Source organism: Homo sapiens, chromosome Y, assembly GCF_000001405.40.
Source record: "Homo sapiens chromosome Y, GRCh38.p14 Primary Assembly".
Taxonomy (NCBI): domain Eukaryota; kingdom Metazoa; phylum Chordata; class Mammalia; order Primates; family Hominidae; genus Homo; species Homo sapiens.
In genome coordinates this window covers 25012830-25030468 of record NC_000024.10, presented here as the reverse complement: position 1 = coordinate 25030468, position 17639 = coordinate 25012830, and the positions used below count along the sequence as shown (strand labels likewise).

At 41.2% G+C, this 17639-nt stretch overlaps 1 pseudogene; it reads left to right on the top strand.

Moving 5' to 3' along the window:
* ZNF736P5Y (zinc finger protein 736 pseudogene 5, Y-linked) lies at positions 11157 to 12165 on the top strand (annotated as a pseudogene).

Below are 17639 nucleotides of genomic sequence, written 5' to 3'. Positions count from 1 at the left end.
CAGGAGATGTGTATTATTTGCTTGATTCCTGCCTATATAAAGCATTGTGGCTTTTATCTAGGTCCATCATGTAAGTGACGTGACTCACTTCCACTGCCTTTGCCCTGTAATTATGGTGCATTGTGACACATAACTGGATAGTACACTCAGAAAATGTGACACTCCATTCTGGGTTCTACAAACAGAAAGCTTTGTAACATATCACTTGGCTTAGCACTTAGGTGATGTTTCTACTCTCCTACCTCACCCTGACCACAGGGGAGATTGTGACATATTGATAAACCCACCTCCAAGGTGAGGTCATTTTCATACTTTGGTTTTGCACCTAGTGGCCATTGTGACATATATCTAGGCCAATTGCCTAGATGTAGGTAAAGTGATTCTCCTCACCTTCTTAAGCCCTGCCCAACAGAAGAAATTTTGACATATCACTGAAACCAGCTTCCAGGTGATATGCCTCTTCTTCCAGGGTCCTGGCCACAAGAAAGATTGTGACATCTCACTGGACCAGCACCCTCACAAGTGATGTGACATTTCTGCTTGCTCTCTGTCCATAGACGATATCATGCCATATACTTGAGAGCAAACAAGAGGACTAATCATGACTGTTAGACCTGAAGCCAGGTCACATCAAAGATGGTGACTCCCATTGCTGAAACTTTCCACCAGTGTTATTGTGACATAGTCTATTTCCCATCTCTTGAGTGACTTAATCATCTTGCCTAAATGTTGCCCACAAATGAGATTTGGACATATTACTCAGCTGAGCACCTTGGCAATTTGACTCTCCTGTCTTAAGAATATCCTCAGGAAGGATTGTAACATGGCTTTGGACCCCTCGTCTAGTTGTCTTACTCTCCTCTGCTGTCTGAACCCTCCTTCCACTGGGGATTCCAGCATCTCTAATCATGCCATCCAAATGATATGACTCCATTTCCTGGTCCCTTCAACACGAGACATTGCGGCATATCTCTGGTCCTAGCATTTAGGTGATATGAGTCTCTTCTTCTGTCTGGAAACTGCCCACAGGAGCATTGTGCCATATATCTGGGTGTAACCCCCAGTTTATGCAACTTTACTGCCAGGAGTATGCCTACAAGGAGAATATTAGAACATTTCTGGCTCAGCATTTAGTGTACTTGGCTGTCGTGCCTATTTCATAAGCCACAATATAAATTGTTACATATACCTAGGTACAACTTAGAGACATGATAATGACCCTCATATGTGGACCCCGTAAATACGGTTAATTCTGAGTCTCATAACTTGCTTCAGAAACATGAGAGATTAAATCACTTTCTGGTAAAAAAGAAGACAAGGAAGGTTATAAGAGCCTCAGATGTTTTATAAACACCTTGGCCCATACAGAGAGTTTTATAACAGAACCCAAGAGAAAGGTGAAACTGTGAGTCTTATATGTGCACTCAGCTGACAGCAAGTACTGTCACCGTCTCACATATATGATGCCAACTGTCAATCATGAAAACAGGACATGTGTGGTATTATAAATCTCATCCTCAGAATTTTCTGCCAGTGTGAGTGATATAAATCTTCGCCAAGCACCTGTGTGATTTTGTTCTCCAGACTTGTTCCAGTCCACATATGTTATTGTGATACCTACCTGGGCCAAACTTTAGGTGATGTGATGCTCCTGCCTCGGCCCTGCTGTCATTAAGAATCATGACATATCACTAGATCCAGCACCCAGGTCATGTTACATTTTTGCCTAAGCCATGCATAGAGAAATCACTGGGCCATACCACTGTGTCAACAACTTAGGCAACACAACTCTCCTTATTAGAATGGGCACAGCACTCAGTGGGTGATAGTGACATGTGGCTGGGCCAGGCACAGAGGTGACAGGACTATTTTGCTAGTACCATGTCCTAAAGAGGGCATTGTGACAAATCTCTTGGCCTATCCTAGGTGATACTGCACTCCTGCTTGGGTACTGCTTACCTGGATAACAACATAATGCACAGAGGTGATGGTACTTTCTTGCTAGGGCCATGTCCTAAAGAGGTCACTGTGACAAATCTCTGGGCCTATCAGCTAGATGATGTTGCTCTCCTGCTTGGGTCCTGCTTACCTGGATAGTGGACATATTGCTAGGCTACGCACATGGGTGATGGTACTCTTTCACCAGGGCCATGACTCAAGGAGGACATTGTGACATATCTCTCGGCCAGTCCCCTAGGTGATGTGACTCCCTGCTTCTGTCTTGCCCACATGGAGCATTGTGATATTTTTTTGTACTTATTTTTTGTAACTCTCTTTTCTGTGTCCTGTCTTAAGGAAGTCTTGTGACATATCTTAGGACCCAGCATCAAGGTGATGTGACTCTTCTGCCTGGCTTCACCTCACATGTTAGATTGTGTCATATACCTAGGAAGCACCTAGGTGATATGACTCTTCTCTTCTGCATGAGTCCTGCCTACTTGGGACATTGGGCCATATATCTGAGCCTGTGTCTTAAGTGATGTGAATCTTTTTTTCTGCAAGAGCCTTTAGAATGGGGTGATGTGATATACTGCTAGGCCCAATACTTAGGTAAATTGACTCCTTTTTTCCTGAACTATGCCCATGAAAAGGAACTTTGATGTATCACTGATCCCAGCATGAAGATGACAGTTCTCTTGTTACTAGGTCCAGCATAAAGAGAGAATTATGGCATATTGCTGGGGCCCCCACCCTGATGATGTAACTCTTTTGCCTGTGCTAGAATAACAAAGTATTTTTACATACCATGGGCCTATTCTGTAGGTAATCTTGTTCTCATCATTAGTATGCATTTCTTTTTCCTACATATTCTACATTTGGGTTTATGTCTTATTGCTGAGTCCAGCACCCAGTTATCATAACCCCAATTTCTAGACCTGCATTGAGAGGGCCTTGTGATATATTGCTTGGCACAGCACCTAAGTATGCTACCTTTCTGAAAAGTTTTTTTTTTTTTCTACAAATGGTATGAAATTTACATTCCTTCAATTCAGACGCATTATGATCAAGCTGAAATTGAAATTTCACCAATAGTAGATGTTTTGCCTTTCATGGCTACACTTAGAACAATAGGTAAGGTTATGAGTTGCAAATTTGTACAAAGTTCACAGAAGGTTACAACAGTAACACATAATCTATAAACTCCTTGGTTGGTACACAGAGTTTTATAACAGGGCCCAGTAAAAGTTAAGGTTTTGACTCTTGATTACACATGCAGGTGAGAGAAAAAGTTGTCAAAATCCCACATTTACAAAGCCCACTGTTGAAGTCCTGAGTCTAACAAGTAAATAAAGTACAAAGATGGAATTGTGACTTTCATATATGGATCTTGCTACAGGTGAGATGGTAACTCACTTCTGGACCCACATCAGGGGCATAATAATGTGTCTTCTGTCTGAATCTAGCCTATAAGAGGAATGTTGCCTATCATAACTGAGTTTAAAGCAGTATGTAAGATTGTGAGTCAATAGGAGCATGTAGGCCTCAGAATGGATTGCAACTCTCATGCATGTTGCTTAAAGCCTTTGTATGTTGTAGATTGTGTCATAGGATCACCCAGAATACACATGAGATTGTGACTCCTATATACTCACCAAACAGTCAAAGTTGTCACCCTAATAGATGAAGAGATTGTGCCATATCACGAGGCCTAGTACCTCTAGGTGTTGAGAATTTTAGGCTTAAATTCTTTTCCATGGTTGCATTGTAAAACATCCCTTGCTTAGAATCATAATAGTTTAACCCTCTGCTTGGACCCTGACAACAGGGGATATGATCACATGTCTTTAGGCCTATCAGCTAAGTGGTGTGTCTCTCCTGCCAGTGCCCTGCCCACAAAGGACACTGTGACATATCACTAGATAAAGCATCTAGGTAATGTGAATCTCCTCTCCTGCTGAATCCTGCCCACTGAAGAAATTGTGACATACCACTGAGTGAAAAACCTAGGTGATGTGACTCTCCCCTTTGTCCTGGGCTCTGCCAAGAGAGTCCGAGAAGATGTGCTGAGCCCAGTCCTTAGAGAATTTGACTATCCACTTTTTTTAATCCCTGTATTCAGTAGGCATGATGACATATTATTTGAGAGTGTACCCAGGTGATATGATTCTTCTGACTGAGTCCTGCCTACAGTGCAGAATAAAATGTATCCCTGGATCAGAATCCAGATGATGAGACTCTTCTGTCTTGTCTCTGTCCAAAGGTGAATTTGGGACATATACCTGGATTCAGCTCACATGCACAATAATAACTCTATGGCCATGGGTAGAGTTCTATATTACCCACCTCTAAGAATACACAGAAAAGTATCCCACTCAGGCATATCGTATAAAGCCTGAGTGGTACAAAGAGTGTCATAACAGGCACCCAAAACCAGGTGGTATTGTGACTCTTGAATGCACACCAAGCTGACACAATTGTTATTCTCACACATGAACAGAGCCTACCAATGCAGTGCTAAATCTCACACACATAAGACTTGAAACTGTTACACTTGTACGTGAATCTGATCCACAGGTGTTTGATGGCATTGGAACCATGATTAAGTAGAACTGTGGTGCTGTGTCTCTCTTATTAGAACACAGTCTTCGGGTGGGATTGGGGCTCTTACACATGGATCTTCCCATTGCTGAGATTGTGACTCCTGTACTACAACCCAACTCGTAGAATGTGTTGATTCGCATACTCAAAGCTCGGACTTGAGTGAACTGAAAATTATTTCTGAACCTTCTTGAAAGTATGATTGGGTCATGCAACCCTTCCCAGCATATGAGTAATTTGATGCACATTTCTAGGCCCAGACCACAGATGAAATTTTGCCATATGCGGAACAAGCCCCTAATCAATATATAACATCATCCTTGTCTCTGCCTATAAGGGGCACTTTTATATATCACTGGGACCGTCACCCAGGTGATGTGATTTACCTGCCTGAAAACTGCCTAAAAAGAGAATTGTGTCTTACATTTAGGTCCATCACATAAGTGATGTCACTCTCTTCTACTGTCTTGGCCCTGCAGTTACAGAGCACTGTGACACATAACAGGCTACTGCACCCAGGAGATGTGATTTTTTGGGGGGTTCTGCCAACATAGTAACATACCACTTGGCTCAGCACCTGGGTGATGTTTCTTCACTTTTCATTGTGTCCTGACCACAGGGAGCTTGGGACATATTCCTGGGTACAGCACCAAGGTGAGGGCACTCTTTAGCCTTCTTACTGCAGTTAATGGTCATTGTGACATAATCTAGGCCAATTTCCTAGATGAAGTGAGTCTTCTCTCATGCCAAAGTCCTTCCCACAGAGGGCTTTTTAAAAATATATCACTGAAACCAGCATCCAAGTGATCTGACAATTCTGCAAGGGTTTTGCCCACCAGGTGGATTGCAACATCTCACTGGACCTGCACCCATGTAGGTGATGTGAGTTTCTTGCCTTCTTTCTGGCCACAGGTGATATTGTGTCATATACCTGAGACCAAAACAAAAGCCTAATAACAACTCATATGTTTGGAGCCAGGACATGTGCAGGATGGTGACTGTAATTCCTAAATCTTTCCACAAGTGAAATTGTGACACATACCTTTGTCCAGCTCCAGAGAGATTTAATAATTCTTCCTAGGTATAGCCCACAAATCAGATTTTGACAAATACCTGGCCAAGTAACTTGATGATTTTACCGTGCTATTTTAACAATGGCCTCAGGAGGGATTGTATCATATTTCTGAACACATCATCTAGGTTACATGATTCTCCTCTCCTGCCTGTACCCTGCTTACTTTGGTAATTGTAGCATTTCTAAACACTGCATCTAAATGATACGACTCTCTTTCCTGGGCCCTGTCAACAGGAGGCATTTTGACATATTTTGGGGCCTATCATTTAGGTGATATTACTCTCCTCTTCTTCCTGGACACTACCCACAAGGGACATTGTGCCACAGAGCTGGACCCAGCACACAAGTCATGTGGCATTTCTGACAGGACCCTGTCTACAAAGATAATATTGAAATATTTCAGGCCCAGAATTTAGGTGATGAGGCTGTTCTGCCTGCTTCATAACCACTCATGGAATTGTAACATATACCTACGCAAGGCTCGCAGGAATGATAACGACTCTTAGATGTGAACTCAGCAAATAGAGAATATTTAGGCTCTTATAACTAGGTGTAGGGACATGTGTGATATCATGGATCACATTCTTGTACAAACATCACAAAAGATTACAACATTGACACATACTTTTATAGAGTCTTTGGGTTATACAAGCAGAACCAATGTAGCACTCAGCACACAGGTGAAATTGTGAGTCCTGTATGCAAACCCAGCTGACAGAAATAACTGTCATCATCCCACATGGTTGCAGCCAACTGTCACACGTAAAAACAGGACATGTGTGGTATCATAAAACTCACCTTTGACATTTTCTGACAGTGTGATTGTGATATACATATTTGCCAAGCACCTGTGTAGTTGGACTTTCCAGAATGGTCCCAGTTTATATATGAAATTGTGATATCTAGCTGGGTCAGCCTCAAGGGGATATGACTGCCATGCCTGGGCTCTTCTCTCAGTAAGTGTTGTGACAGATCACTGGATCTAGCAGCCAGGTGATGTTACATTCTTGCCTGTGCCATGTCCACAAAAATTACTGTGACATATTCCTGTGTCCACCTCATAGGTGATGTAACTCTCTTCTTTGGAATGGGCCCTGCCCGAAGGAAGGATAGTGACATATTGCAATGCCAGTCACACAGGTGAGGGTATTCTTTTGCCAGAGCCATGCTGAAAGTAGGGCACTGTGACATATCTCTAGGCCTGTCACCTAAGTTATGTGGCTCTCCGGCTTGGGCCCTGCCAACCTGGAGAGTGACATATTTCTAGGCCAGGCACACAGGTGAGGGTACTCTTTAGCCAGGGCTGTGCTTCATAGAGGACACTGTGACACGTCTCTTCAGCTATCACCTGGTTGAAGTGACTCCCTCTCTGGGATCTACTCACATGGAGCATTGTGGAATAAGCAGAGAATTTGTACCTCATTTATGTAACTCCCTTTCCTGGATGATATCCTAAGACAGCCTTGTGACATATCTCAGGACCCAGCACCCAAGGGACGTGGCTCCTCTACCTTGTTTCTGCTTACATGTTACATTATGCATATTTGAAGGGAAGCACCCAGGTGATATGACTTTCCTCGTCTCAATGAGCCCTGCCTACTGGAAACATTTGGACATATTTCTGAGCCCATGATCTAAAAATGTGACTCTATTTTTCTGCCTGGGGCTTCACATTAAGAGGATTTTGGCACATTGCTGATCCCAGCACGCAGAATATGTGACTCTCCTCTTGTTCCCGAGCCATGCCCACAAAAAAAGAATTTGGACCTATTGCAGGGCCCAGCATCCCGATGATGTTACTCACCTGCCTGGGTTTTGCACAAAGAAGAAACTATGGCATATTGCATATTGATAAGCCCAGCATCCTTATGATGTGACTCTCCGGCCTGTGTTGGAGCCACTGAAGGTATTTTGACATATCTTCAGCCCATAATGCAGATGTTTTGGCTCTCCTAACTTGGCTGGGTATTTTCTACATGTGAGATGTTGTCATATTGCTGGCTCCAGCACCCGGTTATTGTGACCTAATATCCCCTATACCCTGCCTGAAGAAGGCAATTTGACATATTGCCTGGCACACCATATAAGTGATGTTTCCCTCCTGCATACTTATTTGGCCACATATGGGATTATGACATATATCTTGCTTTTAGTTCACAGGCATGATGATCAAACTTATTTTGGGATTCAGCCAATAGGAGATATTTTACCTCTCATCATTAGGCTTAGGGCAATAGGTAAGTTCCTGGGTTACATATTTCTACCAAGGTCATAGAAGCTTAACACTGAGTTATATTTTTTCAAACTCTTTGGTGGTAGAATGTTTCATAACAGGGCCCAGCAAAAAGTTCAGATTGAGACTCCTGGTTACACACCCAGGTGAAATCAAAAGTTGTCATCATCCAACGTTTACAATGTCCAAGGTTGAGGTCCTGAGTCTAACAGGGAATACAGCACAAAGTTGGAGGTTTGACTTTTATATGTTAATCTGACAAAAGTTGGGATGGTGACTCATTTCTGGACCCAGCCCACTGGCATAATAATGGGTCTTCCTCCCTAACCCTGCCTATAGGGAGATGATGACTATCAAACCTGAGTTTAGGGCCATATGTAAGATTGTGAGTCCATAGGAGCATGTAGTCCTCAGAGAGCTTTGCAATTCTTATGCAGGTTTATAAAACCCTCAGCTCCTGTAGACAGTGTTGTATATTGGCCCAGCACACATGTGAAATTGTGACGCTAATATACATATTCAGGTAAAAGTTAAAACTGTCACTCTCAAAGATGAGGAGATTGTGTCATACGACTGGACATAGTATGCAGGTGTTGAGACTTTTTGGCTCATATTCCTTTCCATGGGTTTATTGTTACATGTCAATGGGACAGAATCATAATAACTTGACTCTTCTGCCTGGGCCCTGTCAACAGGGGATATTATTACATATTTCTGGTCTTTTCGGCTAGGTGATGTGTCTCTCCAGCCTCTGTCCCGCACCCAGAGGACATTTTGAAATATCACTCTGCTCTCCTGCCTGGGTCTTGCTTATTGAAATGTAACTCCGCTCTCTTGCCTGGGTCTTGCTTATTGAAGGAATTGCGACATATGGCTGAATGCAAAACCTAGGTGATGTCTCTCCTGTCTATTCAAGAGTTTATATCTGTGCTGAATTTTGTTTCATGACTTTGGTGTTCTACCATTATACCGGCAGCACAATCCTTTGATTAATGTAGGTTTGCTTTGTGTTTGGAAATTGTTATGTGTAATGCTTCCTATATATATTTTTAAGATTGTCAGGCTTTTCATGGTTTATTGGAATCTCAAGTAATTTTGTGGAGTTTTGTCTATTTTTGGAAAAGTAAAATTAAAAATTGAAAAGGAGTGTGTTGCCGGTGTGCTTCACTTTAAGCAGTATGGACATCTTCATAATATTTTATCTTCCAACCCTTGAAAAACAGCATGCTTAAAAGTGCGTTGTTTTCTGGGCATGGTAGCTCATACCTCTAATCCCAGAACTTTTGGAGGCCAAGTAGGGCTTGAACCAAGGAGGTGGAGATTGCAGTGGAGCTGAGATTGTGCCACTGGACTCCAACCTAGCTCCGGAGTGCCAGAGTGAGAGTCCATCTCAAAAGAAAAAAAAAAAAAAACTGTGTTGCTTAATTTTTATATTTTTGGAGTTTTTCTGCTTTTCTTTTGTTACTAAATTCTAGTTCCATTCCGTCTGGGCTATAAATAATTTTCTGTAAAATTTCAACTGAAAAATAATTAAGACTTCTTTTGTGGTGTCACATGTGGTCCATCTAGGAAAATGTTTTATGTGCTATTGAAAAGAAAGTCTATTCTGTTGTCTCTATACATTTCTTAGGTGTAGTTGTTGTACAGTACATTCAAGTTTTTGTTCCCTCATTGATATTCTGTCTTGCTTTATTTATTACTGAAAGTGGGGTATTGATATATACTTCCACTATCTCATTGCTGCCTGCCTATTTTTGATTCAATTCTGTCAATGTTTGATTTATGTGTTTGGAATAACTGTCCTGCATTTATAGGTTCTCAGTGAATGAACCCTCTTACTGCATTTGAATGTCCTACTTTGTCCCTTGTGAATTTTAACATAAAATAAATTATATAAATATAACAGTTTTCAACTTAATAAATTGTTACCTCTTCTCCTCTCATTTGATTAACACTTGCATGGAATGTATTTTTATACTGCCATTTTCAGTCTAATTTTTATTAGATCTGAAATGAGTCTCTTAAAGGCATGACATAGTTACATCCTGATATAGACTACAACATAGCCACATTTTTTTTTTTCATTTGGAAAGATAATTTTGCAGGCTATAGTATTCTTTATTAGGCTATTTATTTCAGTGTTTTAACTATGTCATCTTATTCCCTTCATGCCCAAAAGATTGACATTCATAAATTTACTGGTAATCTTGCAGAAGCATACATATGAATAACACATCTATTTTTTATTTCTGAATTCCAGATTCTCTTCTTTTCTCTGACTTTCAAAACATTGCTTATGTTTTGTCTTGTTAGAAATCTCTTTGTGTTAACCTTAGTTGAAATTGTCTGAGCTTCTTGAGTTTCTTAAAATTTTTTACTGATGTTGAACTGCATATTAGTCTTTTTTTGTGCTTCTACTGCACAATTTTCATTCCTTTTTGTGACTTTTATCTTTTGTTGGTTTCATTTATTTATTTTTATGTTTTTTTCTTTATTTCTATTTTACTGATTAAGCATCATTGACACGGTGATTTTCACTTTTTAGCACTTTTTTTTTTTCTTTTTAAAAATAGATCTAAACTAACCCAAATCGCCTCTGGTAATTTTTATATTACCATTTATATCTCCATTTTTTATAACTGATTTCTGGATATTTCACCATGTTGACCTGGCTGGTCTTGAACTTCTTACCTCAGCTGATCCACCCACCTCAGCCTCCCAAATAGCTAGAATTACAGGTGTGATCCAATACTCCCAGCCGTTCCCCATATTTCTCACTGAGATCCTGCAGTCAGCTGGATACCCATAGTCTGCCTATGATACTGAAGTCTTTCTTTTTTTGTAACAGTTATTTGTCTTTAGTCTCAGTCAAAGTATACCATCTTTCCTTTCAACACTGTCTTGGAATGTAGGAATTTGTCTTTGGTAAAAACTCAAAAAGCCAGAAGCATGGACATGTCACTGTTTTATTTATTTTTGAAGGGGTAAGACAGGAGTTGTCAGTCTCTACACTTTTCATAGGATAAAATATGTGTGTAGTGGGTAAATATGAAATACTTTTATTACACTCCTATGTGGTTCTTGGCATTTTGCTCACTTGGTGCTGCAAATGCTTAACTGAGTCTTGGACTTCTCACAAAGGCATTTTGGTAAGTATATTATGTTAAACTTATATGTTTATAAAGGAATTAGGCCCTGTGGTATTTTATTGTCACCTTGTTAATGTGCTTTGTATAATTACACATTTGTCAAGTGTATTCACCTGAGTCGAATGAGGGAGAAATTTTGTCTTTTTTTGTTTGTTTGTTTCAGCTGGGCTGTTTTCATTTTACTACAGAGATATGGATGGAGCACAAAATAAAAGATTCATTCCAAAAAGTGACTGATAAAATATGAAAGCTGTGACTTTAATAACTTACTTTTAAAGAAACACTACCAAAGTGTGGGTTATTGCAAGGGCAGAAAAGCAGTTTTAATGGCTTTCCTCAATGTCTGTCATCTACTCATAGCAAAACAAATGTGGCAAACCTTTTGAGTTGTGCTCAAACTTCAGTGAACATAAAAAAAAAAATTAGTGGGAGAAATGCTACAAGTATGAAGAACGTGGCAAAGACTGTACATTGTTCTCACATTTTACTATAAAAAAGGAAATTCCTATTGCAGAGAGATGACACAAATGTGAAGAATGTGGCAAAGCCTTTAAAAAGTTATCAAGTCTTACTGAACATAAGAAAGTTTATCCTGGAGAGAAATCTTACAAATATAAAGAATGTGGCAAACCTTCACCTGCTCCTAAACCTTCATTAAACACAAGATAAATCATGCTGGAGACACATCCTAAAAACGCGTGGAACGTGGCAAAGCCTTTAAGTGCTTCTCAGACCTTACTAATCATAAGAGAATTCACACTGGAGAGAAACCCTACAAATGTGAAAAATGCGGCCAAACATTGAGCTCATTCTCACACCTCATTAGACATAAGAAAATTCATACTACAGAGAAAGTCCACAAGTGATAAAAATGTGGAAAAGCCTTTAACAAATCCTCATGTCGTGTTCCACATCAGAGATTTAATACTGAATGAATGCAATATAAGGGTAACGACTGATGAAGACCATTTACTTAACATCTTGGAGGGTCTCTAAGAACTTGGTTTATAATCTGTATGTTTCTGTATTGGGTGCATATATAGCACTTTACTCTTATGTAATGTTCTTTTTTGTCTTTTTAAAAAAATCTATGTTGACTTAAAAGTCTGTTTTGCTAGAAACTATAATCTCAACGGCTGCTTTTTTCCTGTTTTCTATTTGCTTGGTAGATTTTTCTTTTTCAATTTATTGTTATCTTATTTTAGATGGGTGTCTCAGTTACAGCATACCCTTGGATATTAACTCTGCATGCAATTTGCCACTCTGTTTTTTAACTGGGATATTTAGCCCATTTACATTTAAAGTTAGCATTTTTATGCGTGGATTTGATTCTGTCCCTGTGATCTTAGCTGGCTAATTTTCACATTTATGTAGTTGCTTTATAGTGCCAGCTGTTTATGTACTTTAGTGGGTTTTTTGGGGGTTTGTTTTGTTTTGTTTTGTTTTTGTTTTGTTTTTATTTTGTTTGTAGTGACTTGTAATAGTCTCTTATTTACTGCTTTCTTCAGAAGCTCTTGTAAGGCCGGTCTTGTGGTAACAGAGTTCCTCAGCGTTGGCTTATCTGAATAGGATTATATTTATTTTTTACTTCTGTAGCTTGCTTTGGTAAGATATAGAATTCTTGTTGTGAGAAGTCAGGGACTCTGAATGAAGGCACCTGCTGAAGCCATGGCAGAAGAACATAAATTGTGAAGATTTCATGGACATTTGTCAGTTCTCCAAATGAATACTTTTATAATTTCTTATGCCTGTCTTTACTGCAATCTCTGAACATAAATTGGGAAGATTTCATGGACATTTATCACTTCCTCAATCAATACTCTCATAATTTCCAATGCCTGTCTTTACTTTAATCTCTTAATCCTTTCAACTTCATAAGCTGAGGATGTACGTCGCCTCAGGACCCTGTGATGATTGCGTTATCTGCACAAATTGTTTGTAAAGCATGTGTGTTTGAACAATATGACATCTGGGCACCCTGAAAAAGAACAGGATAACAGCGATGTTCAGGGAACAAGGGACACAGCCATGAGGTCTGACTGCCTACGGGGCCAGGCAGAACAGAATCATACTTCTCTTCTTGCAGGAAGTGAATAGGAGAAATATCCTTGAATTCTTTTCTCAGCAAGGAATAGCCCTGGGAAAAAAAGGCATTCCCAGGGGGAGTTCTCTAACATGGCTGCTCTGGGAGTGTCTGTCTTATGCAGTTGAAGATAAGGGATGAAATACTTCCTGGTCTCCTGCAGTGCCCTCAGGCTTGCTAGGATTAGGAAATTCCAGCCTGGCAAATTCTAGTCAGATCCGTTGTCTGCTCTCAAACCCTGTTTCCTGTTAAGATGTTTATCAATGATAGTGCATGCCCATTGGGACATGGACCTTCATCAGTAATTCTAATTTCACCTTTGCCTTGTGATCTTGCTCTGCCCCCTTGCCTTGTGATCTTTTATTGCCCTATGAAGCATGTGAACCCTGTGACCCACTCCCTATTCATACACCCCTCCCTTTTTGAGATCCCTAATAAAAACTTCCTGGTTTTGTGGCTCAGGTGGACATCACAGAACCTGCTGACATGTGATGTCACTCCGAGAGGCCCAGCTGTAAAATTTCCCTTTTTTTTTTTTTTTTTTTTTTACTCTTTCCCTTTATTTCTCAGACCAGCCAACACTTAGGGAAAATAGAAAAGAACCTATGTTGAAATATTCGGGGCCGGTTCCTCTGAAAATTCTTGTTTGGAATTCTTTTTTTTTAAAGAATGTAGAATATTGGCCCCTAGTCTCTTTTGAGTTGTAGGATTTCAGCTGAAAGGTTTGTTGTTTGTCTGATGGTCTTCTTTTACAGGTGGCCTGGCCTTTCACTCTAACTGCCTTTAACACATTTTTTTCTTTCATTTTGACCTTGGAGAATCTCACGATTTCGTGTCTTGAGGGTGACCTTCTTGTAGGGTATCTTACTGGGGTTCTCCACATTTCCTTCATTTGAATGTTGACCTCTCTGTCTAGGCTGGAAAAATTCTCATGGATGATATCTGGAAATAGGTATTTCAAGTTGTTTTCATTCTTCCCATCAATTTCAGATGTTCTTTTTAATCATAGATTTGGTTTCATTACATAATCCTGTATTTCTTAGAGACTTTGGTTCATTTCTCTGTATTCTTTTTTCACTATTCTTGTCTGTCTTATTTCAGAAAGCCAGTCTTGAAGTTCTGAGATTCTTTCCTCTGCTTGGCCTATTCTGTTGTTAAGACTTTTGATTACATTATAAAGTTTTGTATTGTGTTTTTCAGCTCTATCAGGTTGACCACATTTTCCTCCTGATTGGCTGTTTTTTCCATTAATTCCTGCATTTTTTTCCTTTTATTGCATTGGGTTGCAACTTACATTTGTAGCTCAATGAAGTTTATTTCTATCCATATTCTGAATTCTACTTCTGTCATCTTAGGCCTTGCTGAAATGACCAAATTACATAATTTGGTCATTTGGATGAAAGAAGTCACTGTGGTTTTTTGTGTTTTCAACATTTTTGCACGGATTTTGTCAAATCTTTGTGGGCATATCTTTGAGGTTGCTGACATTTGAATGGAGTTTTTTTTTTTTTTTTTTAATCCTATTCAATGGCCTGTAATATCCAATTGTGGTATAAAGTAGATTGAGCCTACGGGCTTTGTTCCTGGGAATTTTTTTTTTTTTTTTTTTTTTTTTTTTTTTTGGTGGCAGGGAGACAATGCTCAGCTCACAACTCAGAGGCTGCATACTCTGGGGCAGTTGTATTTGTTTCCAACCATCTTCTCTGGCTCCTTGATATTTCAAGTCCATCACTTTGTAGGACTAGCATGCCGCAGCTGCAGCAAAGTGGTAGTGGATATGGGTTTTCTGCCTGCCTCTGGGCATTTACCTTAGTGGCAGGAGCAAAGAAGTTGGGAGGTGACTGAGGACGTAACTGCTGGACACTGTGTGTGCTGTTGCGCTAATAATGGTTGGTTGTGTTAGCTTGGTGCAGGAAGCTGGCCAGTGAATGTTTGATGCCTTCTTTGTGCCCCACCAATAAAGAAGTGATTGTTCAGAGTGTGGGAGAATACACAGTTCTCTGCACAGTGTTAACACAAAGGCAGAGTTGTGCCTTTCTGGCTCTCTGCCCACCAAAGCTTCATCTACAGTAGAAGCTGCTGTGGGTGGCAGGGGAATACTGCATTCTTATTTGCTGATGGATCAAGCAAAGTCCAACCCACCTTTGCAGACATGTGCCACCAAAGTAATATCAGGAGTTGCCATGGTCTCTGGAGAAGCTGCAGTATGGGGAACATACCTGTGTGCTGGTGCAGCCACAGGGGCTGCTTTGCTGGAGCAGTTAGGGCTCAGGCATCGTCCACCAATGCAGATGCCATGGTATGGTAAACTACTCTTCCAGAGGAGCTGAGACTGCCCTGTAAGTGGCTGCAGCCAGACTGGGACCCTGGGAGAGACCAGCAGACCAAGGAGTGCTCAGTTGGAGACGCTTCTTCTCATTTGCAAGACTATCCTGCAGAAATTAGGTCCAACAGGTTCTCTAGGGCTAAAGTCTCTTATGAGAGAAAGTTTAGCCTAGAGAAATGGCCATCACTGGCCACACTTTCCTACAGATGCTTTTGTGCCAAACCCACTGGACACCACATAAGCTGGCTTGCTGGCCCACCTCTTTGCTTCTCTTCTGGGGGGCTGCATCTCAGAGAGATGTAGGTCAGCAATCCCTCAGTGCAGTCAGCCCAGGATGGAGGAGCTCTGCTTTTGGCCAAGTAGAGGTTCACTGTCTGGTGAGGAGCAGTGAGGAGTGTGTGAAACCCAAGGAGGATGGACTGGCCTCTTCTCCTTGGGTAAACTGCAGCTTGTTTAAGGTGTGAATAACGCACTTAAGTTTTTGGACTGTTCATTAGCCTGAGGGAAGCAAGGACAGTTCTACTGCAGGGGCAGTGGCAGAAGTATTTTCAATTGCTGCTGGAGTCTCTGTCCAGGGAATTGCTAACTTGCTACTGGCTCAATAACTCTGGGAATGATTGGCTAGTGGGCCAGTCCTGGAGAACCTTCCCAAAGAGAATATAGGAGAACAGGCCCTTACGTAACAATCTGGCCACTTTCTGAAGGGCTGTTGGATTATCCTGAGTGTCCATTGCAGTTTCTAGTCATCTCCAATTTTCCAGTATCTGAAGTTATCACCAGTAAATGCTGCAAAACAACAACAATGGCAACATGCCCTTTTCTCTGGGAGCCCTGTCCCAGGGAGGTTAGACCTGTTTCCAGCACAAAAGCACATATAGGAGGTAGCTAAAAATCTCAGTTGAAAGATCTTACCCAGTGAGGGTGACATAATTGGGGACCCACTTGAAAAGCAATCTAGCCACATTTCTGTAGGACAGCTCTGCTGGGCAGAGGTACCACTTCCACCCTCAGTTTATTTGGATTCTCAAAAGCCAGAAGGCTGGAACAGCTAAGTCACACAAACAGCAAAAAGGGCAGCTCACTCTTCCCTCCAGGAACTGTATCCCAAAGACATTTCCAAATTCCATCGATCAAATAGCACCAGTGGTGGTAGATGGACACCCTGGTTGGAAAGTATTTCCCAGTGAGGAGGAATGAGATTGCAGACCTGCTTTAACAGGCAATCTGGACATGTCTTTTTACAGCACCTGTACTGTGCTAGGAGATTCTTTCTGTCCCCAGTCGGCTTGAGCTCTTCAAAGCCTGAAGGCTGGAATGGCTAACTTGCCAAAGCAGCAAAGAGGGTGGGCCACCCCTCTTTCTGGTAGCTCCATCACGTGGAGGTGAAATGCTGTTATCAATGGTTGGCTGGAATTGTAAGCCAGTAGATCTTACCCTGTGAGGAATTGTGGAAATGAGTCCTACAGACCATCGCTGCTCAGGCCCCTGGATTCTGCCTGTTTCCTATGGGAGTGTACAAGGATGTAACCTCCTGCTTTGCTGGAGTTGCAGCTAATTTTTCTTGGAAGCCTGGAGAGCCAGATTATCTAAGGCTCTTGAATCTCTGCACTGGCCTGGGTGACTGCTCTGCTGTGACTCCATGTAGCTCTGTTTGTTAAACGGAAGGCCATAATGAAGTGGGTTAACGAGGGTATCTCCTTACCTGAGGGTTGCAAAATCAGTGACAGAATTGTGGGTTGCCAGGGTCACACATGCAATTACTGATTTACTGGGTGGAAAGTTTCCCTTGGCTTCTTGTTTTTCCCGGATGGCCCATTATTCTACCTTCCTTTACTCCATTCTCCATTAGATAAGTCGTTTCTTTGATTGTTCCCAATGCTAGTACCTGGATGTTTCAGTTTAAGGTGCTGTATTTATGCATATTTTGCATTTCTCTCTGTGAGAACTACGCAGTCCAGCAGATTCTAGCTGGCAATCTTGACTACTTTCCTCTAAAAGAAACCTACCTTTTTATTTTAAAAGAAATTAGGCCAGGCCAGTGTCTCAAGCCTGTGATCCCAGTGCTTTGGGACACTGAGGGGATCAGATCAAGAGGTCAAGGGATCAAGACCATCTTCTCCAACATGGCAAAACCCCATCTCTACTAAAAATACAAAAAAATTAGCTGGCTGTAGTGGTGAGCGCCTGTGCTCTCAGCTACATGTGAGGCTGAGACAGGAAGACGGCTTGAACCT